The sequence below is a fragment of the Homo sapiens genome, chromosome 12 (genome assembly GCF_000001405.40).
Source record: "Homo sapiens chromosome 12, GRCh38.p14 Primary Assembly".
Lineage (NCBI taxonomy): Eukaryota > Metazoa > Chordata > Mammalia > Primates > Hominidae > Homo > Homo sapiens.
In genome coordinates, this window is record NC_000012.12 from 30,027,747 (window position 1) to 30,051,104 (window position 23,358).

The 23,358-nt window shown below is 37.5% G+C and overlaps 1 long non-coding RNA gene across 4 annotated transcripts in view; it reads right to left on the reverse strand.

Annotated features, from left to right (window-relative positions):
* Positions 1–23,358, reverse strand: part of LOC105369715 (uncharacterized) — a 182,759-nt gene that overhangs the window by 159,009 nt on the left and 392 nt on the right. For all 4 annotated transcript variants that reach the window (XR_931474.1, XR_001749060.1, XR_001749061.1 and 1 more), the window contains exon 2: positions 22,694–22,771. This is a non-coding gene — a long non-coding RNA (uncharacterized LOC105369715). The remainder of the gene's footprint in view (positions 1–22,693; positions 22,772–23,358) is intronic.

The following is a 23,358-nucleotide window of genomic DNA, read 5'->3' on the forward strand; positions in this document are numbered from 1 at the left end:
GGGTACTTCACATGCTAGCTAAATGCCTCTAAAGTGCACTTTATTAAAGATAACTTATTTCACACACTTTCAACATAGTGTTAAAGTAAATGACCACACAGACAATATACCATCTCATTTGTGTGTGTTTCTTCCCTCACTGTACCTTCTATTTACTCTTTTGGCCTCATTTCAAATTGAGAGTTAAACAGATACTGAGAGAACTTCTATTCAATGTATCTTTCCAGGTACGTTTGTGTAGTTCTTAAAAGATTTACTCAAGAACTTGAAAGCTTACTACAGTAATAATAAGTATGTGAAGAGTATATAAGGTGAACCTTTGGCTTTTCGTGGAGAAGCTACCATGTAATATAATAGAGAGTAAAACTCTCCTCTGCCTATTATAGCATCTCATGAATGGCCTTGGAGTTGCCTCTCACTTTATTGTGAGTCTGCAGAGCCACAATCATTACTGTAGAAAAAAAAAAGCTGTGCTTGTTTATAATTATAACTTCTGCCTCTACTCCTGGTATCAAAAGTAACGTACTCAGAAACCAAAATGAGAATTATCTTTCCATTCATTTCTGGTCCTGAACACTAACTGTTGTCACTCCACTGCAGCTCACTGGAAACGTCTAAAACTAGAAGATATATGGTTCCAAAGAAATTTTTATTTAGGTGACTCTTTAAAAAGTGATATCTGCATGGAGTTTTGTGTTGTTGTTTTTGAAAGCAGGAATATGCAAGTGAGAAAATTTTCAAACATTGCACTAAAGTCCACTAATTTATCTACTACCTTCAAATATCAACATAGCTCAAAAATGTCACACAGAACACCAATCCCAAAAGATGCCTCTAGAAAAATGGGTTATAGAATCAAGTTGATTTTAGAAATGCTTTCACTGTACATGCCCCTACCTCCATCAGAAATGCACAAAGCAGAGACCATAGTGAAGGCCCTGTGAAACACTTCAGTTAAAAAAAATCTGCTTACCTTTTTTAACTATATTTTAAATATATATTTTATAACAGAATACTTTGGAAAACTTTTCTTAACAGTCCAGAAAGTGCTGAAACATACTTTGAAAAATGTTGACATAAACTATCCCAGACACAATGAGGTTAAAAAGAAAAGTTTCCACATTAGGAGATTCTATAACTTCTCTGAAGAAGTTATCTCAGTGTCTGGCAGACAGAAAATCTTTTCTGTGTCTGAGATAAATCTTCCATGCATCCTTTTAAACATTTCCTTCTGTTTAGAACTCAGGGAGAAGAACAGCTGGTCACCATTTTCTATGCAAGAAATCATTATTCACTTAGAGACCTTTATTAGGATATCCATCTACATTCTTTGCCACAATGGGAATAAGTACAATGATTGAATCTTTACTTTTCAACATTATTATTTTACAGATGGGGTCTCCCTATATTGTCCAGGTGGTCTCAAACTTTGGCTTCAAGCAATCCTCTCACTTGGGCCTCCCAAGTCACTGGGATTACAGGTGTTAGCCACCATGTGTAGCTGAGTCTTTCTTGGGTATTCCTCTCTCATAAGTGTTAACTATCTGTTACCCTACTCAGAGCCATCTACTTTTTCCATTACCTTTTAAGTCAAACAGACCATAAATTTACATATTCTACCAGAAATGTGGCCTGCACTTGGTACTATGATGCTTACAGGTTACTGTGGAGTGATACCTTGTATGGGAGTTAAGTTCAAAAGTCAGCAAATAAAGCAAAATCATGTAGAGTCAAAAGTACTCTTGAAACCCTATTAGAAAGCTTGATGGTGGAGGGGGACAGGCCATATGTAAAGATGCCCCAAAGAGATACCTCGCCCTCTAGATCTGGAACACATGGCTATATCAAATAAAATACAGGAATTGGCTTTCTTCTCAGAGGTCATGTTTTATGAAAAATGCATATCTTTAAACACTAGAATCCTGCTTATACTTTGAGGGCTCACAGGAACTAAAATTGACTAAGAGAAGGACAATTCCATATCTCTCACCTCCTGCCCTCTCCCAGGGTTGCCTTCACTAAGGGCAATAGCAACAAAGTTACCCACACTATTTAAGTTGTTATTTTGTTCCCTCTCTTTCTCTTTTATTTCTGCATTTGGTTAAAAAATGGATCTGGTATGTTGAATTTGTATAAACTTGCATAGGATGCAGTCACTCTATGTCAAAATGTATTTTATTGTTATTGTAGTTTAATTTTAAAAATCTATTCAGCATCTTCTAAGTACAAGGCAAGATGAGTCATTATTTTCTATTTAGTTTTATTTCAATACAATAACATTTAACAAGCACTCACTATATGTAAGGAGTAGACAAAAACATGGCTATGACTCTACCGCTTAGGCTCGGAATTCATATCTTTAAACTATACTTTAATTTCTAGGACACGTGTGCAGAACGTGCAGGTTTATTACATAGGTATACACGTGCCATGGTGGTTTGCTGCACCCATCAACCCTTCATATACATTAGGTATTTCTCCTAATGCTATCCCTCCCCTAGTCCCCCAACCCCCAACAGGCCCTGGTATGTGATGTTACCCTCCCTGTGTCCATGTGTTCTCACTGTTCAACTCCCATTTATGACTGAGAATATGCGGTGTTTGGTTTTCTGTTCTTGTGTTGGTTTGCTGAGAATTATGGTTTCCAGCTTCATTTGATGGTGATATGCATAAACAAAACTAAAATCCAAATAGGACTGTATTAAGTCCTATTAATAAGTATTAATATCATATTAGGTATCATAACAGGACAGGAAGGGAAGAAATTCATTTTGCTTAAATCAAGGAAGTGTTGCAACAAGAAAGGACACTGGAATCAGGTCTCATAAAACAAGCTGGATTTTACTAAATACAGAAGTGTGTGTGTGTGTGTGTGTGTGTGTGTGTGTGTGTATGTATGTCTGTAGATGTAAGGGAGGAGGGTAGAAAAATTTTATGCCAATGGAGCAAAGAGAAGACAAGTAGACTTGAAATGAAAAGTCCAGGTAAGAAAGAGCTCAAAACCTGGAACTTCTGTGTTGCTGCAAGGTTGGGTAAATGAAAGGAAATAACCAGAACTGAAACTGGAAAGATGGTTGGGACCAACCAGTGAAGGCCCTGAATGCTCTGCTAAGGAATATGGAATCGAAAACAAAGGAATCATGACTATCTCTTGGCAGGGGAGTGGCATGTTTAGATCCTACTCATAGTGGAGTGGATGAAAGGCAAGTAGGGAAAACCAAACTCCTCAAGGCAGCTAGTAGGGCTTATTCTAGCTTTATTTACTACACTTAACATAAAATCGAGTACTTTGTCTTATAATTTTCCACTGGTTTTCTTTTTTCTTTTTTTTTTCTTTTTTGCTTCCTGCAGAGGCACTGCCCTGCATATGTATATTCCTCCCACTCCCATAAAAGCTGCCTGCTTTCCTTGAATTCTTTGCCAGTTTTATGGTAATTTTTCATTTCCATCAAGTTCTCAGAACTACCATATGGTTCAGCACATACAGCTACATATGTAGCTGCTAACTGCAACTAGTCATGCTACTGAGACGCTGGTCTCTGTCCATGGGAGACACAGAAAACATAAGGGGGAATGAATGATTAATGGAAATAGTGGACAAAACCCTTCCACCTCACTTCTGTGTGAATCTTCTTGAAAACTTTCCTATTTCCAGCAATAGTGCTCCTAGTAATATAGAACCACTAATGATTTATCCTCTATCCTCCCAAGAAATACACATCCAATAGCAAATAAATGCCAGGTTCTATTCTAGGTTCTCTAGGATACATTAACAAGGAATAGAGAGAAAAATTCCCTGACAACAATCTAGCTGGGAAGGGAGATTGTCAGGGAGTCAAAAATTAGCAATAAATATAGTAAGTCAATTTTTCATCATGTGACAAGGTGAGAAGTATAATGAAAAAAACAGAGAGAGAGAGCAGATAAGGAGTATCAGGAGGGTGGCATGGGAAACCTGATCAACATCATTAATGATAATGAAAATGAAAATTACAATGACATGCCACTTCAAACCCACTAGATTAGCTAAAATGAAAATGATTGATAATAGCAAATATTGATTAGGATTAGGATTTGGAGAAACTGCAACTCTCCTACATTGCTGTGGAGATGTAATGTAGATCAACCACTTTAGAAAACTGTCTCAGGCAAGAAATGATGGTGACTTGAAATAGGGTGACAGTGATGGAGGTTGAAAGACAGAATGTATTTTTAAAAACAGTCAAGAGGATTAATGATGGATTAAATGTATTAAGTTAGATAAATGGAAGTCTATGACAATCTACAATTTTTGATCTGAAAAACTAGAACAATTGGCCTGGTAATTACAGGTTTGGGTAGTGGGAATCAGAAGTTCAGTTCTGAATATAGCAAATTTGAGATACATATTTTATATGTAATAGGAGATGGAATGTAAGCAGTTAGATATGAATCGGGAGTTAAGGGGAGAAGTCTGAACTAAAGACATCAATGTTGAGACTGACACTGCGTAGATGATATTTAAAGCCCTGAGACTACATGAGATCCTCAGAGAGAGAGAGAGAGAGAAGATCATTGAGAGGTTAGAAGCCCATGGACCCTGGGGTGCTATTGTTCTGTGTTACTGTTGAATTTAGAATTCAGGAAAATGAGGATGCTACTGAAAAAAGGTGTCCAGTGAGGCCCAAACGAAACCTAAGTGGACAGTGAAGACAAGGGAAGGAAGTGTCTCAAAGAAAAAGGAAAAGTGAGCTGAGGCTAATAATCCTGAAGGGTCAAAAGGAGGCTGAGAATTGGCCACTGGATTTGAAAATGAGATGGCTGGTCACTTCAGTAAAGTTACTTTCATGGAGTGGTGAAAAGAGAGCCTGCCTGGACAATAAAAGAAGGGAATGAGAGGTATGAAGGCAATATATATATATACAATAATTGTGAAGTTTTTCTGTAAAAGTGGAAATTAGATATGAGGTGGTAGTTGAAGGATGATGTGAGACCAAAGGGTGGTTTTTACAAGTGTAAGATATTGCAGCATGCTTGTATGCTAATAGTCACGACTCAATAAGTGCAAGAAAAGCAATGATGCATGACGTTTGAGTAAGTGAGAGGGAATGGGCTGTAGCACACAAGAGGAAGGAGAATGCATGGTCCAGATGCAGGTGAGCTGGGACATTTGGTGGTGAGAGTTTGTGAATGTCCCATTTTGATTATTTATATTTTTGTGAAAAAGAAAGGAAAATCATCACCTAAGAGTGATATATGTTGGAGATTAAGAAGGGATGAAATTATTGTCTAAGAACGAAGGAGAGTGAGTGGGCCAAGGCAATGGGCAGGGTATCAAGGGAGTACCAAGGGCCCACATGAAGTCTGTGGTCATGGATTTAAAGTGAGAGTATCATAGAAAAGGCAAGTGACGATTTGTATCACATAGCAAAACATGACATAAACACTATTTTGGATGGGCAATGATGTAAAATCTTCAGATATGATCTCTTTTAAGATAAGATGCAAATCTATGTTCTATATTTTCCAACAGAGTCAAGTCTACCCCACCAAAAATGATTTAAAATAACTTCAGCTTTGGAATATGCAGTAACTACTAATAGGAGAATGTATCAATAACAGAGCAGAAAGTTAATCACATAAATGATAGACCGGCAGATGGAGAAGTCAACTGAGTCTGAGCTAGGTAGAGAAAAACAGCAGTGAGCTGGCTAAGCATGAAACCAAGAGGCCTCATTGAAGCCTAGTCCAGAGACACAGTAACAATTACAATGCCCAAGGCAATGGTGGTTGTAGATGACCTGACAATGACAAGTCCTGGTCACAGCTTTCTATACGATAAGAGTCGTTACATGACACAGCACCTGGGCCGACTGATGTATAAACTATAAAAGCTCTACATGTAATAGCATGGAAATAATTTTTGTTAACTGATGTTACAAAATACAAAGTGTGGTTCTTGGATAGTGAGGGAATTGCAGAGGAACATAGGCTGGAACGGAAAATATTATCAACTTTGTCATGGAACCATCACTACAAAATGTGGAAAATATATTCATTCTCTTTCCCTAGGTAAGACCTTTTTTTTCTTAAAATATGGTATTTATTCTATCAGGTTTCCCAATGGCTTATTCTGCAATTTAGAAGTACTACAAAGTATCCTACATGCCATAAAAATATATAAACCTTTAATATATTAGATCCAAATACAAGGTGTCTTCCTGGCAACATCAATGTCCAGTTTCATTCTGCATGTCTTTGGTCATACAATAGTCTATTCTATTATTCTATAGGCATTTTTCTAACCCACTCCAAATCCATTTTGCAGTGAGGTACGGATATAAATACAAAGGTAAACAATGTAATTGTATTACTTGTGTATGCATGTATGTTCTTGCATGTGTGTATTGAGAGGAATGTTTGTCTGACTACCTCCATGTGCCAGTCTGATCTTCTGGAGAGAAAATTGCTGGGAGGCTGTGACATGAACCAGTGTGGAGGCAAATTAATGACAAGACTGAGAACTGGCATGAAGAGAAATCCATGAGATGACAAAGCCACCTCTTTAAGTGAGGAGATGTATTAGCTGCACCCAACCTCCACCTACCATTTCCACTACATTGTTGCTAGTGGTCCCCTCCATTGGTCAAGCTGCAGATTTGTCCCCACATGGACATAATAATTGGCTTGTTTCCCCAGTGCCAAAGCTATAGCTAACGATTTGTGCTAGTTATGAAGGGAATGATGTGAAAGAAGATGAATAGATGGATGGATAAATGGATGATTGAATGAATGGATGGATGGGTGGATTGATGGATGGATGGATGGATGCATGGATTTGGACAGATGTTCACCTCTACTAGGAAAAAAAGCCTTCAAATCACTTTTCCAAGGGGGACTTCACTGCCTCATACCATGAGTAAAGGACATTGTTTTGGTCTTTATAAGGCAAGACAGGTCTTCTCTTCTACCCCTAACCCACCCAAGGCTCTCCATTTACAAGTACACCCATGATTGTAAAATACATAATAATGAAAAAAACCCAAGACACCATGTGAGACTGTAATGAAAACCAACACCAAATAAATTACTCATAAGTGAAAGTTAATTCTGTTTCTTCTTGTTGTGCAGGGAAGCCACATTCAATGACGTAGGCAATAGCAAACTATAAAAATAGATCCAACGACATTAATTTTCCCAATCAAAATTACAGTGGCTATTTTCATGATTTATGTCACTATTTATTGCAAATCAACATGGCTAGACCAGCTTAAATCTGCAAGAGTCATAAAGAAAATCCCTAGTGCATGTTCAGACTATGGTCCTCATGGGGTATAAATATTAACTGCTGGTAGAAGAAAATGGAATAATCAACTTTTATATCTTTAATTTCCCTTTATCACCATAGTACAGACATTCCAATGGAGTGATTATTCTAATCCTAATAGTCAACAGCAAATTAGTTCATTTTAAAAAGTATTGCTTACAAAGAACACAACCAAAATCTAAATTCCTAAATTACTGTTTTACACAATGTAATACATGCTTGAATTCAGTCTTAGTGCATGTAGAATGGGTATAGGAGGAGGATCTGACGGAGAAGTATGGAATAAGCCAAATTCTGTACCCAAATTCTCATTGTTATTCCCGCTAAAGGGCACAGTTTCTAGAGATGCAGCATGGAGCTGTTTTGCGACAAGTAAGAAGCTGAGCTTGAGGTCTTAAATTTCTAATGCTATGAAGAAATGATACAAATTAGAAACAATCCCTATAATCAATCTGCAACTGTTTCCAGAGAAAAGCTAACATAGTTAGTTCTTCGACCCAATCATGGACAATATCTTTTTTGTTCTATGAATAGAATGGCAAAGCTTTATTGAAATACAACAGAGAAGGCTTAATTACAACATATACCATGTTCATGGATTTGAAATTTCAATATTTTTAAGGACAGTGTTCCCCAAATTGATATTCAGATTCAATATGATTTCATTAAAAATACCAAAGGGTTTTTTTTCTGTGAAACTAATATTTATATGAATCAAGGGGAATTCAGTTTAACAGATATCATCATTTATAATAAATAATAATTGATTCAATATCTTATCAGTTTAGGAATAGTCAAATTGATCAGAGAACAGAATATAGAATCCAGGAAAAATATGTATATGATATATTAGTCTGCTTGTGGTGTCATAACAAAATATCATAGACTATGTGGCTTACAAAACATTTACTTCTCACAGTTCTAGAAACTGGAAATCCAAAATCAAGGTGTGACTAACTTGTTTCTTGTAAGGGCCTCTTCCTGGCTATCTTTATTTTATTTTATTTTATTTTATTTTATTTATTTATTTTTATTATTATTATACTTCAAGTTTTAGGGTACATGTGCACAATGTGCAGGTTAGTTACATATGTATACGTGTGCCATACTGGTGTGCTGCACCCATTAACTCGTCATTTAGCATTAGGTATATCTCCTAATGCTATCCCTCCCCCCTCCCCCACCCCAAAACAGTCTCCAGAGTGTGATGTTCCCCTTCCTGTGTCCATGTGTTCTCATTGTTCAATTCCCACCTATGAGTGAGAACATGCGGTGTTTGGTTTTTTGTCCTTCCGATAGTTTACTGAGAATGATGATTTCCAATTTCATCCATGTCCCTACAAAGGACATGAACTCATCATTTTTTATGGCTGCATAGTATTCCATGGTGTATATGTGCCACATTTTCTTAATCCAGATAGACTGGATTAATGATAGCATTGTTGGACATTTGGGTTGGTTCCAAGTCTTTGCTATTGTGAATAGTGCCACAATAAACATACGTGTGCATGTGTCTTTATAGCAGCATGATTTATAGTCCTTTGGGTATATACCCAGTAATGGGATGGCTGGGTCAAATGGTATTTCTAGTTCTAGATCCCTGAGGAATCGCCACACTGACTTCCACAATGGTTGAACTAGTTTACAGTCCCACCAACAGTGTAAAAGTGTTCCTATTTCTCCACATCCTCTCCAGCACCTGTTGTTTCCTGACTTTTTAATGATTGCCATTCTAACTGGTGTGAGATGGTATCTCACTGTGGTTTTGATTTGCATTTCTCTCATGGTCAGTGATGATGAGCATTTTTTCATGTGTCTTTTGGCTGCATAAATGTCTTCTTTTGAGAAGTGTCTGTTCATGTCCTTTGCTCACTTTTTGATGGGGTTGTTTGTTTTTTTCTTGTAAATTTGTTTGAGTTCATTGTAGATTCTGGATATTAGCCCTTTGTCAGATGAGTAGGTTGCGAAAATTTTCTCCCATTTTGTAGTTTGCCTGTTCACTCTGATGGTAGTTTCTTTTGCTGTGCAGAAGCTCTTTAGTTGAATTAGATCCCATTTGTCAATGTTGGCTTTTGTTGTCATTGCTTTTGGTGTTTTAGACATGAAGTCCTTGCCCATGCCTATGTCCTGAATGGTATTGCCTAGGTTTTCTTCTAGGGTTTTTATGGTTTTAGGTCTAACGTTTAAGTCTTTAATCTGTCTTGAATTAATTTTTGTATAAGGTGTAAGGAAGGGATCCAGTTTCAGCTTTCTCCGTATGGCTAGCCAGTTTTCCCACCACCATTTATTAAATAGGGAATCCTTTCCCCCTTGCTTGTTTTTCTCAGGTTTGTCAAAGATCAGATAGTTATAGATATGCTGCGTTATTTCTGAGGGCTCTGTTCTGTTCCATTGATCTATATCTCTGTTTTGGTACCAGTACCATGCTGGTTACTGTAGCCTTGTAGTATAGGTTGAAGTCAGGTAGCATGATGCCTCCAGCTTTGTTCTTTTGGCTTAGGATTGACTTGGTTATGTGGGCTCTTTTTTGGTTCCATATGAACTTTAAAGTAGGTTTTTCCAATTCTGTGAAGAAAGTCATTGGTAGCTTGATGGGGATGGCATTGAATCTATCAATTAACCTTGGGCAGTATGGCCATTTTCATGATATTGAGTCTTCCTACCCATGAGCATGGAATGTTCTTCCATTTGTTTGTATCCTCTTTTATTTCATTGAGCAGTGGTTTGTAGTTCTCCTTGAAGAGGTCCTTCACGTCCCTTGTAAGTTGGATTCCTAAGTATTTTATTCTTTTGAAGCAATTGTGAATGGGAGTTCACTCATGATTTGGCTCTCTGTTCGTCTGTTATTGGTATATAAGAATGCTTGTGATTTTTGTACATTGATTTTGTATCCTGAGACTTTGCTGAAGTTGCTTATCAGCTTAAGGAGATTTTGGGCTGAGACAATGGGGTTTTCTAGATATACAATCATGTCGTCTGCAAACAGGGACAATTTGACTTTCTCTTTTCCTAATTGAATACCCTTTATTTCCTTCTCCTGCCTGATTGACCTGGGCAGAATTTCCAACACTATGTTGAATAGGAGTGGTGAGAGAGGGCATCCCTGTCTTGTGCCAGTTTTCAAAGGGAATGCTTCCAGTTTTTGCCCATTCATTATGATATTGGCTGTGGGTTTGTCATAGATAGCTCTTATTATTTTGAAACACGTCCCATCAATACCTAATTTATTGAGAGTTTTTAGCATGAATGGTTGTTAAATTTGGTCAAGGGCCTTTTCTGCATCTATTGAGATAATCATGTGGTTTTTGTCTTTGGTTCTGTTTATATGCTGGATTACATTTATTGATTTGCATGTATTGAACCAGCCTTGCATCCCAGGGATGAAGCCCACTTGATCATGGTGGATAAGCTTTTTGACGTGCTGCTGGATTTGGTTTGCCAGTATTTTATTGAGGATTTTTGCATCAATGTTCATCAAGGATATTGGTCTAAAATTCTCTTTTTTGATTGTGTCTCTGCCCAGCTTTGGTATCAGGATGATGCTGGCCTCATAAAATGAGTTAGGGAGGATTCCCTCTTTTTCTATTGATTGGAATAGTTTCAGAAGGAATGGTACCAGCTCCTCCTTGTACCTCTGGTGGAATTCGGCTGTGAATCCATCTGGTCCTGGACTCTTTTTGGTTGGTAAACGATTGATTATTGCCACAATTTCAGAGCCTGTTATTGGTCTATTCAGAGATTCAACTTCTTCCTGGTTTAGTCTTGGGAGAGTATATGTGTCGAGGAATTTATCCATTTCTTCTAGATTTTCTAGTTTATTTGCGTAGAGGTGTTTGTAGTATTCTCTGATGGTAGTTTGTATTTCTGTGGGATCGGTGGTGATATCCCCTTTATCATTTTTTATTGCATCTATTTGATTCTTCTCTTTTTTTCTTTATTAGTCTTGCTAGCGGTCTATCAATTTTGTTGATCCTTTCAAAAAACCAGCTCCTGGATTCATTAATTTTTTGAAGGGTTTTTTGTGTCTCTATTTCCTTCAGTTCTGCTCTGATTTTAGTTCTTTCTTGCCTTCTGCTAGCTTTTGAATGTGTTTGCTCTTGCTTTTCTAGTTCTTTTAATTGTGATGTTAGGGTATCAATTTTGGATCTTTCCTGCTTTCTCTTGTGGGCATTTAGTGCTATAAATTTCCCTGTACACACTGCTTTGAATGTGTCAGAGATTCTGGTATGTTGTGTCTTTGTTCTCGTTGGTTTCAAAGAATATCTTTATTTCTGCGTTCATTTCGTTATGTACCCAGTAGTCATTCAGGAGCAGGTTGTTCAGTTTCCATGTAGTTGAGCAGTTTTGAGTGAGTTTCTTAATCCTGAGTTCTAGTTTGATTGCACTGTGTTCTGAGAGACAGTTTGTTATAATTTCTGTTCTTTTACATTTGCTGAAGAGAGCTTTACTTCCGAATATGTGGTCAATTTTGGAATAGGTGTGGTATGGTGCTGAAAAAAATGTATATTCTGTTGATTTGTGGTGGAGAGTTCTGTAGATGTCTATTAGGTCCACTTGGTGCAAAGCTGAGTTCAATTCCTGGATATCCTTGTTAACTTTCTGTCTCGTTGATCTGTCTAACGTTGACAGTGGGGTGTTAAAGTCTCCCGTTATCATTGTGTGGGAGTCTAAGTCTCTTTGTAGGTCTCTAAGGACTTGCTTTATGAATCTGGGTAGTTATTTAGGATATTTAGCTCTTCTTGTTGAATTGATCCCTTTACCATTATGTAATGGCCTTCTTTGTCTCTTTTGATCTTTGTTCGTTTAAAGTCTGTTTTATCAGAGACTAGGATTGCAACCCCTGCTTTTTTTTGTTTTCCATTTGCTTGGTAGATCTTCCTCCATCCCTTTATTTTGAGCCTATGTGTGTCTCTGCACATGAGATGGGTTTCCTGAATACAGCACACTGATGGGTCTTGACTCTTTATCCAATTTGCCAGTTTGTGTCTTTCAATTGGAGCATTTAGTCCATTTACATTTAAAGTTAATATTGTTATGTGTGAATTTGATCCTGTCATTGTGATGTCAGCTGGTTATTTTGCTCATTAGTTGATGCAGTTTCTTCCTAGTCTCGATGGTCTTTACATTTTGGCATGATTTTGCAGTGGCTGGTACCTGGCTATCTTGTAACAATCAAAAATCTACCATTTCAATATCCAGCTTATGTTAACAATTCTATTGATTTTGGAGGAGTTAAAAAAATGAGGAGACTGGCTCTTCATTTCTTTTCCCATTCCTGTATCCTTCTGCCTTCATTGAGTACCACTCTACCCCTGACACTCTGCTTCAGCCATCATCTCCCTCTTGCTCCTTGACTATGTCAGCCATGCTGCTTCTTCAGAGCACTGGCACTTTCCCTCTGCCCGGAATACCCTTCCCCACATGTATCCAAATGACTCATTCCCACACTTCCTTCTGGACTTGTGCCAAGTGTCATCTTGAGAGCCCTGTCTTGACATCTCTAAATCATTTATCAGCACTTAATTCTGAGACACATATATAGAGTTTTCTTTATTGATTATTCCCCTCCACTATAATCCAAACTCATGAGGCTAGAATCTTTATTTTACCCAATGCTCTTATCCCAGCAATTAGACAAGTACCTAGCCCACAGTAGGCTCACAACAAATATTAAGTGAAGGAAAGAGAGAGAAAGACTTCATTGGTCAAGGCGAATTTGATAGGATTGAGAATGAAAGAAACATTTTGTCTAATCTTCAAGACTCTATGTATGTGCTTTCTCATCCAATAAAAGAAGGTCTTTCTGGTAATGGATTCCCCACCTTCTCAAAAATTTTAAGGATTATAAAATAAATCTAACCCAATACACTAAACACAGTGTACATATTACTGAAAAATTTCTAGATCAAAAGAGTTGTGCTTATTTTGCTGACAATTTTGCACATATTTCACTTTTTTTTAAACAGAAGAATGTCCATAAAGCAGAACCTTTATTTTCCTAAAAGTTTAGCCCAATGGATGATAAAAAATAGAGCTCTTAAAATCATCACCTTAATAACTAGTCACTGCACATGAAAAATAGCATTGTCAGAAATAACAATTGAGGCAAAAAATAACCCACTGCCAGAGGTTAGTAACTAGCAGGAGAATCTGACATTTAAGGGCCGATTCTCGTCTCTCTTTCAATGTATAAATAAACCATGAAAGACAGAGATCTGGCCACAAAAACATGTGAGAGAAGCCAAACCTCTGTCTCCAACCTTTGAACAAACAAAATACAGAGAATGTAAGTTGCCTCCAAGGATTGCCTGAAGCATTAGTTAATCTTTGCAACAAAATTTCAGGATGAAAGCCACCATGGAAGGGCTAAATCTTACCATCTCAATAAAGAATACTTTTCTTTCTTTCTTTGTGTGTGTGTGTTTTTGTTTTTTGTTGTTTTGTTTTTTTGAGTCAGAGTCTCACTCTGTCACCCAGGTTGGAGTGCAGTGGCGTGATCTCAGCTCACTGCAACCTCTGTCTCCCGGGTTCAAGCGATTCTTGAGCCTCAGCCTCCCGTGTAGCTGGGATTACAGGTGCACACCACCAGGCCCAGCTAATTTTTTTGTATTTTTAGTAGGAACAGGATTTCACTATGTTGACCAGGCTGGTCTCGAACGTTTGACCTCAAGTGATCCACTGGCCTTGGCCTCCCAAAGTACTGGGATTACAGATATTAGCCACTGCACCCAGCCACTTTGCTTTATTTTTAAACACTGCATTAGAAATTATTTTAAAAAGATTCCACCAAAAGCAAAGCCTTATTGCCTTCCAATGAGAAATTTCCATTCAGTCATCATGGTAACAAAGACACTCTGGGGAGGGCCAAAGCGTGCCAGAATGTGAGTTTGCTGCCATCATAAAGTTCCACATTTAACACACCTGACCAAGATGACAGCCTGTGGGGACTCACTACTTTACTTAATTAGCTGGAGGGAGTCAAGGAAACCACTTATGGCATAGCAGTCCAGTGTTCCACTCTATGTGTTCCTCAGGTTCATTATAATATAGCAGATGTACCAAACCAGGAGCTCAAGTCAGATGTTAACAATTCATATTTATTCCCAACATTTCAAGATGTTGTTGCGTGTTGGTTTCCCTAAAGCAATATTTTTCAAAGTGTGGCTTCTCTACTCTCAGAATCATTAAAATCCAGGAATGTGTTAGAAATGCATATTTTCAAGGGTCACCCCAGATTTACGGAACTGGAAAATTTGGGAGTGGAGTCCCCACAATCTGCTATAACAAACCCCACAGGTGATTCTGATGCACCACTTTATAGTTATATTTAGCTTACATCACAAAGAAAAGATCTGGCTATCCAAATCCCATTGAACAGATAGTTGACGTTGCTAATTTATGTTTGTTTAGCAAATGTATATTGAATGCCTGTCACATGGTAAGCACTGCTCTAGAGGCTGGAGATTTAGTAGTGAACAAAACACACAGACCTTGACCTCATGGATCTTATATTCTAGTTGGAAGAGACAAACAGTAGACAAGATACACAAATCATATGATATTTCAGAAAATGGTAAGTGTTATTGAAAAAAGAAAAGCATGAAAAGAAGATGGGTATTTTGGGAGAAGAAACATGAATCCATTTTAAATAAAATGGCCAGGGTCTGCATTACTGGGAAAATTAAATTTGAGCTTTGGCTTATATAACTAATTAGTATGACAGAGTTTATTAAAGGATGGGTTTTTTAGCATTATTTCAAAAAGTCCATTTATAAATAGATTTACAGAAGTATTTACATTATGGTTCCATTTAAGTATGGATGTTCTAAGTACTTTACAAAACTTTCAGAAATAAATATTGTTTTTATTCAAATCTTAGTTCTAAATTTATCCCTGCTCTTGCTCTATTTGTATCTGTTTAACTTTATTTTTAGTACTTAAAATTATGTTATCATTATATTAAGTCAAATATTTAACTTAAAAGTTAGACAATTGCAAAATAATGCATATATATTAATTTCAAAGTTTTGATCTAATTCTCCTAGAGTTGATAATAAACAGACAAAAGAATGCTACAGTGAAAGTGATCCTTTAACTACTAATAGAGCCTTTTAAAATAGGGGTTACCTATCAGTGACAGCCAAAAGAGAAAAAGTTTTGTAGTTAGGAGAGTAGACTCCATTTAGACCTAGACCCCTAGGGAAAATGTTAAAGAGTTGTTCTGGAATGAATGTGTCCCTCCAAAATCCAATGTGTCTTAAATCCCAGTGTGACTCACAATGGGAAACAGGGCCTTTCAGGAGGTAATTAAGGTTAAATGAGGCCATAAGACACTAATCCAATATGACTGATGTCTCTATAAGAAGAGGAAGAGACACAGGAGTGTGTCGCACAGAGAAAAAAATTATCTGAGGACACAGCAAGAAAGCGGTCATCTACAAGGTAGGAGGAGAGACCTCACCAGAAACCAACCCTGCTGGCATACTGATCTTAAACTTTTGGACTCCAGAACTATGAGAAAATTAATTCCTGCCGTGGTATTGTTATGGCAGCCCAAGCTGACTAATACATGACTATAAGCATCTCTTTTTACATGTAGAGAGAGTTCATTTGCATTTAGAGAAAATCTCCTTGAATGCTGCTAAGCATTGCAGACTTCACCAGGTCATCATGACCAACAGAAGGATGGTGGCAAAATCCCACTGGTCCTGTATGGCACCTCACAGACGGATATTTATGGCCTGCTGGTAGTATCATGGAGTCGTGGTAAAAGTAACCACGAGTTGAAGGCCAGGAGGTAGGAATGAAAAAGAGAATAATTAAAACACAACTCATAATCACCTCATTTGTATTAAATAACATTTCTGGAACTGATAATATTATCATAAAAGGGAAGATAAGGGAAGATAGAATTTATTTATTAAATAGATCCATTTAAATTTGTGAATTTATTTATAAATTTATTATTTTTTGGTACATCTAGTAGTTACGATGTTAGGTACTGACTATTCAATAGTACACTAAAAGAAGACATAGGGTTTTTAAAAACACATATTAAATAATTTGCTTACAAGCAAATATGTTACAAAGATAATTGCTAAAAGATAAAAAGTTCTATAAGAGCATATGATGGGGTCTTACCTTGATCAAATAAAGCTTCCCTAAGAAAGAGACATTTGAGCTGAGCAGTGAAAGGACATTCTAACTAGAGAGAATGAATTCTGGCGTGGGCAAAGTACAGAAAGCTCCTTGTGAGATGAGATGGAAGAATCAGCCACAATAGATCATGCAGTTGTAGATGAAGATAAATGTTTGAGGCTTTGTCCAAAGAGCAGCTGGAAACCACAGAAGGAGCACGGTGGTGGTGGTTTGGGTGGTGGTGTTGAAAGGAACTGATACGATTGAATGGGCATGAATTTATGTGAATAATAGTGACTCTAGGTGACGAATGTGTAGAAAGAGGCAGAAGTAGACACAGGAGCAAAGGTAGCTTGGACTAGAGATGGGGCAAGGAGGAGAGGTGGGCTATCCAGTATGTGTGTGTGGTTAATGTAAAACAGGAAAATGTGAATTAAACCTGTGAGAAATTTTAGTGGGAAAATATGTAAATGGAGGCAAAAGGCACCATGGTACTCAGAAAGCAGGAAGAGAGGTTCAGAAAAGAGAATGGTTTGATATTGGTAAGTGATGTGTCACTCTGGGAGATGTCCTCAGTACAGTAGTTTCAACATGAGATGCTTTGGGGATGAAAGTGCCGTAACTTATGCAAGTTGTCTATGCATCACCCTAAGAATAAAATGGTGACCTTCGGGGAAAGGAGACTAAATCTATATGATAAGGTGGTTTAGCTAATGGGAGCAGGATTAACCATTGGGTCACCCATGGCAGTAGAAGCCAGTGGCACCCCTTGAAGTTCCCACTAAGTCCAGGTTCACATGTGTCCTTGACATTACTTGTCTTATCCAAATTGTCCGCCTGGTGGAACAATCTGCACCTCTGGGTTGCCACTTCTGACCTGGGTTCCTGTATCTCCCATCCCACTATAATTCCTCTCCCCACTGGCCTCTAAGCTTCCCATAATGTGCGACCTATTTGGCCACTGGAAACAGCAATTGTAATAAGAAAAAGCTAAGGAGAGATTAGTGGGCTTGTTATGGTCACTTGAATAGTATCTGGAATACTGAAATTGAAAACTCAACTGAATTTTTAAAAAATTCTAAATAGGTCAGTATGGGAAGGGGGATAAAACCCACATGTGGCATAGCTGGCCTTCAGAAGCGTGTTATCAACTCCTGACATCACTGGTAAGAAAGGGCAAGTGAGTCCAGAGGCAGAGGTTGATGGATAGCAGGGGTAGCTTGAAGTGTTTATCTCATTTCTGTCTTCTGTCTGTGATTAGGCACTAAGGTGAAGTGGAAGACATTCTAAGAGCCCCACCCCCACCCCCTTTACAGCTGAAAAGATATTAAATATCTGTATTTAATTTTGATCAGTTGGGACAAGCTTAGTAAGCATCTGTAGTAAGCTAAACAGTACTACACCCTATGAGGAATGTAAAGATTAATTAGACTAAGCCCTTGCCCTCAAAGAACACATGAATCAATGGTGAAAAATAAGAATGTTCAGCAAATAAAAAGGCAGAGTGTAAAAACAGGTCAATTTGCATCTAACAGAGATTCTTTGGGAGGGATTCCTGAATTGGGATATATGTCAGACCAGATTATTCTAACTTACCTTTCACACTTAACAATCAATTTATCTATGAATCAGCTTCACACATAGCTATAGATTTGGATCATTACTCTCAGCTCTTCCCACCTGATCTCCTCTCATTTTCTCCTAGTCCTCCAGGGTGGGCAATGGAAAATCATCAATGATTATCAGGGTAGGAATCAATGCATTGGATTATTCACTCCCCCATCCTCAAAGTCTAAGAGTTAAATCAATTGAAAGATGCAGAAGGTGAGGATGTTTCAGTAGTGTTTCTCACTGTGGTATTATTCTTTATAAAAATATTAATGTATAAATAATGCAGTATATACTGATTCCAGTTTTTTATTATTATTTTTACATCTTACCTTTTTTTAGACTTGGAGCTATGTTTTCCTCACTGACTCAGGGGTCACTCTGGGCTTGTTTTTGTACAGACTATCTAGACCAATATTATGTGTCTACCAGTTAATTCAAGATTCCTTGTGAGTTCGCATTAAAATCTACAAAGATAAGGGTTGAACCACAACAAACTCTCAGAAAAACCACATAGTTTTGTCATTAAGTCATTACCTGAACCCAAAAATTGTTTTTTTTAAATAATAATCTACCCTTCTTCAAACAATGGATCAAGAGTAATGGCTACTGAATTTGTAAAGTAAAAAACTTATGGAGGATTTATAATAGATGGGTAAGGCTGACAACACCTGAACCCAATGATCAATAATAACATTACAAAAAGTGACACAGACAACCAGATATGTGCCTCCTAACAGGAGTTCAGAATAACATCTAGGGAGTAGTCTTGCCAGAAGACTGCGGTCAAGCCTCCTGATCTACAAACCAGACTGTAAGAAATACAGGACACAGAACAAGATGTTAAATAAAACCATGAGAATACAACAGCAAAATCTAGACTGGGAAAATCTATAGAAATAAACGATCAGTTTCTCCAACAACTATATTGTGATGGAAAAAAAAGAGCAAGAGAGAAGGGAACCTATAATTACAAGAGAATTAAGTGACATATAGACCAAATACAAAATACAGATCTTGTTTAAATCCTGATTTGAATAAACATCTATAAAAACTATATGAGGCTTGAGTTGGATATTTGATGAAGTGAATAATCTCAATTTTTTAAGATGTAGTAATGGCAGTTGGATTACATTTTTAAAGAAATCCTTGTAATTCAGAGATCAAACTAAAATATTTATACATGAAACAACTTAAATGTCTGGAATTTGCTTCAAAATAACTCAATGTTTCAGAAAGGAAGAAATAGGTAGGAGTATAGAGAAAATAAGATTGGTCATGAGTTGATAATTCTTGAAGCTAAGTATTAGAGTACTTGGAGGCTTACTATGCTGCTCTTTTTTTTGTTGTTTATGTTTGGAATTATCTATAATAAAAATTATCCAAAGGAAAAAAAACATTAGGGGAAAAACGGAAGAGAGATACAGATATACTAGGAAGAAACAGGAATATCCTTTATCCAAATGGATGTCCCCTTTCATTACATGTATACTGTGCTGAGAAAATTCAAGACACAACCTACCTTTCAGTGCATTTGATGTCAGATTAATGTTGCTTAAAAATTCTTTCAGTACTATTTGAAATATGATCACAGCATTTGGAAAATTTTGAAAATTTAAACAGATAGAAACTGCAGTGATTAATTTTATGTGTTAATTTGACTGGGCTAAGGGACAACAAGATATTTGGGAAAACATTATTTCTGATTGTTTTTGTCAGGGTGTTTCTGAAAAATATTGGCATTTCTATCAGTAGACTGAGTAAAAAAGATCTGCTGTCACCAACATGGGTGGGCAAGAACCAATCCGTTGAGGAAAATCTGTTGAGACATTGTTTTCCTGATGATCTCAGGAATTTGAGTCACTTAAAAAAACAGAAGATTTGGGTTCTGTTCTGGCTAGTTCTTTATCACCTCTGGGCTCCTATCCAAATACAGCAAAAAGGCGAGCAAGGGCGTATTCTCTCTCTCTTTTGGAGCTGGGACATCCATCTCCTCCCGCCCTTGAACATCGGTGCTCCTGGTTCTTGGGTTTTCAGACTCCAGAGTTTCTACCAACCACCCTCTCTCCCCCAGTACTCAAGGGGAAACCCTTTGTTTCTTCACAAATCCTATAGAAACTCTTTGTTTCTATGAAGACACAGTAGGTTGATCTATTTTATAAGCTTGCTTCTTGAATTACACCACTGACTTTCCTGGTTCTCCAGCTTGCAAATGGCATATTGTGGGGCTTCTCAGCCTCCAAAATGGTATCAGCCAATTTGCATGATAAATGTCCTCTTACATGTCTCTCTATATATCCTGTAGGTTCTTTTTCTCTGGAGAAGCCTGACTAATACAGAAGCCATTTGGAATCACTCCAAGAGTGAATTACATTTCAGGGGGTCTATTTGAACTAGCTGTAATCAGCAACTCAAGTATTTCTTTTTAACTCATTGCCTATGAATTACATTTCAAACTAATCAACTTGTTTATTTCTGCTAAAATTTCAGAAACTAAGTGATTAGCTTAAAATTTCTGTCCTGCCCGGTCTTTTTTTTTTTTTTTTTTTTTCTTAAAAGCAATTTTCTACCACAAATTCTGCTAAGGGGAAGAAAGCCATTAAAATATATTGCCAACAAAACAGAATATACAGCAAAAATAAGCCAGGAATTAAGCATAAACGATTTAGTCATGCATTTTCGTTGGTTAGTCAGAAAAAAACTAAAGAAATTCACAACAAAAATACATGAAAGGAAAAGGGAGGATGAAACTGTGGGACAGTTGGCATTCATCCACTGGCACTTAATTAAATTGTCTGGCCCCCTTAAATTCAAATCATTTTAATCAAGAAAATAAACATTAAAAATCCAGAATGAATTAAATTCAAAAAGATAATCAGAGCTCTGTTGTTTTGCCTTTGAGAAAACTTTTCAGTGAAGAAATAACAGAAGCCCAAAATAAATATTTCCTTGTCATATGAATATGCCTGTGATAGGTACATATGCAAGTACATTTTAAAACATTCAAGCAGTAATTGTTTGCTATAGATAAGAATATTGCTGCTCAAAATCAAAAGATCCTTGTGATTCTTTCACTTATAAACCCTTTGTTTCTATAAAGACGTAGTAGGTTGATATATTTTATAAGCTTGCTTCTTTATGGGGGAGCACATTGTCTACTTTGTCAAGGACACCAGCCTCAATTTCAAATAGCTTTAAGACCAGCATGCAGCAGCTCACCCTGCCCCAGCTCCTTCTGCTCTGCTCACCAGGCATTGGCGATCTGACCTGCCTGCCTAGGCTGCCCTCTGTTTTTGCCCTCACCACTCCAAGTGTTAGCACAGATGCTTTAAAGGGCCTCCAGATCTCACCTGGCACCAGCTGCAATAGGTTGATGCAGGTCTCACTTGCTTTCTGCTCATGAACATCCTTGGCAACTCATTATCTTGTCAGTAACCTTCTCCAAGACCAACCAAAGAAAGTTACTATCAGCACCTTTCTTCTCAATAGAACCACAATATTAAAATAATCCCTTCAAGTTTGGAAATACTTCAAGTCTGTACTTTTGCTCTTGCTGAGGTCACCTTATTGTCTACATTTCTGCAAAAGTACCTGCGATCCTTCCAGAGCAGGCAGATTGCTGGAGTTCAGGAGTTTGAGACCAGCCTGGCCAACGTGAAATAAACTTCTACATCTAAGAAATTCTAAACCACACACTTACCAAAAAGCAAGTGAGCCCCTCTGCAAAACGTATAGTTGGTTCATTTCTTACATAGAGTCTTGTTCTGCTCTATAAAGCATTTAACATTTATTTTAAATCTATATATTTCTTTTCTCTCTGTTTTCCTTCAGCAACCTTGTACTAATATACACTCAGCATCAGGCCCAGGCCTCCAGACTTCTAGAAATGAATCTTGTTTATCTATTAAACAATGCAGTAAGTGGGTCCCATGTTTTCTGGTTTACAAAGCACTTTCGTATAAGAATCATCTGATACCAACAAAACCCCTTAAATTTTACAGTGGAGGAAACAGCCAAAAGAGGTTGTTGTGACTTTCTCAAGGTCACTCCAAGCACACAGCAGGGTCCCATGTAACACTAGGTTGTCTGGCTCCAAATCCATTCTCTCTTCACTGCATCATGTGGCTTCTCATTCCTACTTCTTAATTCTTATGGAGAATGGACAGGGAATATGTTGTGTCAAGTATTGCTTCTGTGAAGGTCCCTACCTAGACCCTGGCTGTTCATTTAGCAGTGCAGTCCAGGTGAACTTGAGCTTCCCTGGCACTCAGTCAGGACTGACAGGAGTTGACAATGAGCATAGAATCGCCTTTAACATCACAGCCAATAGAGAACGACACAGCTGAAAAGTTTTGTTAGAGCCTCACACAGCAAGAAATACAATTTTAAATTAAGAGCTTTACACAGTGTTCACTAAATCCTGGCATTCTTGTCATTATGAGAACTATTTTTGCCATTATGTTCCAATTTTTGAAGAAAAGGATTTTCTCCTCAACTTCCGTAGGCTTCTCAGCAGTTGAAGATTTTAATGGAAACATAATACGTAGGATTATGTCATTTTCTTAAAGAAGTAAAAAACCAATTACATTGGATCAGTATTTTCCAACTTCTGATCCATTATCCAGAGACAAAGTTTGTTACCTTCAACATCTCCTTCTCAGACACCTTCTGCAGAGGCAACTGATCTCCTCTTCACCTTATCTTGATTTCCTTTCATTTCTAGGATTGAAGATTTTAAAAAATGAATAATCCACCCTAACACTGTGTCATGTGAGTTTTAAAACTAAAAGAGCAAACAAGATTACTTCTGTGAATACAGCACTAACTATATGAATACAGAGCTGCACTCATATCTTAGAGGATGTTGTTCTACTCATGGATCCCCAAAGGGGTGACTCTAGAAATCCCAGAAACAGTTAAGCATCTTGTTAGATACACAGATTCCCAGGCCCAAGCCCAGGATGTACTGGTCCAGGGACCAGCAGCATCAGCATCACCACCTGGGTACATTTTAGAACCACACATTCATAGGTGTGAGGCCCAGAAATCAGTGCTTTATCAAGTCCTCCAGGTGATTCTGATTCATGGTGAAGTTTGAAAAGCACTGATTTAAACAGGAGAATAATCTCAATTCAAAAAAGCGTGTACTGAGACCCTCCTAGTAAAGGCCCTGGGTTAGTTGCTGCAGGGAAAAGGAGAAACTCATTTTGTACTGTATTATTTTTTGAATGTTATTTTTCTTCAAACGTTTATTGAGAAGTTACTACGTGCTAAGCAGCCTGTTACAGGTTCCTTAAGATGTAAAT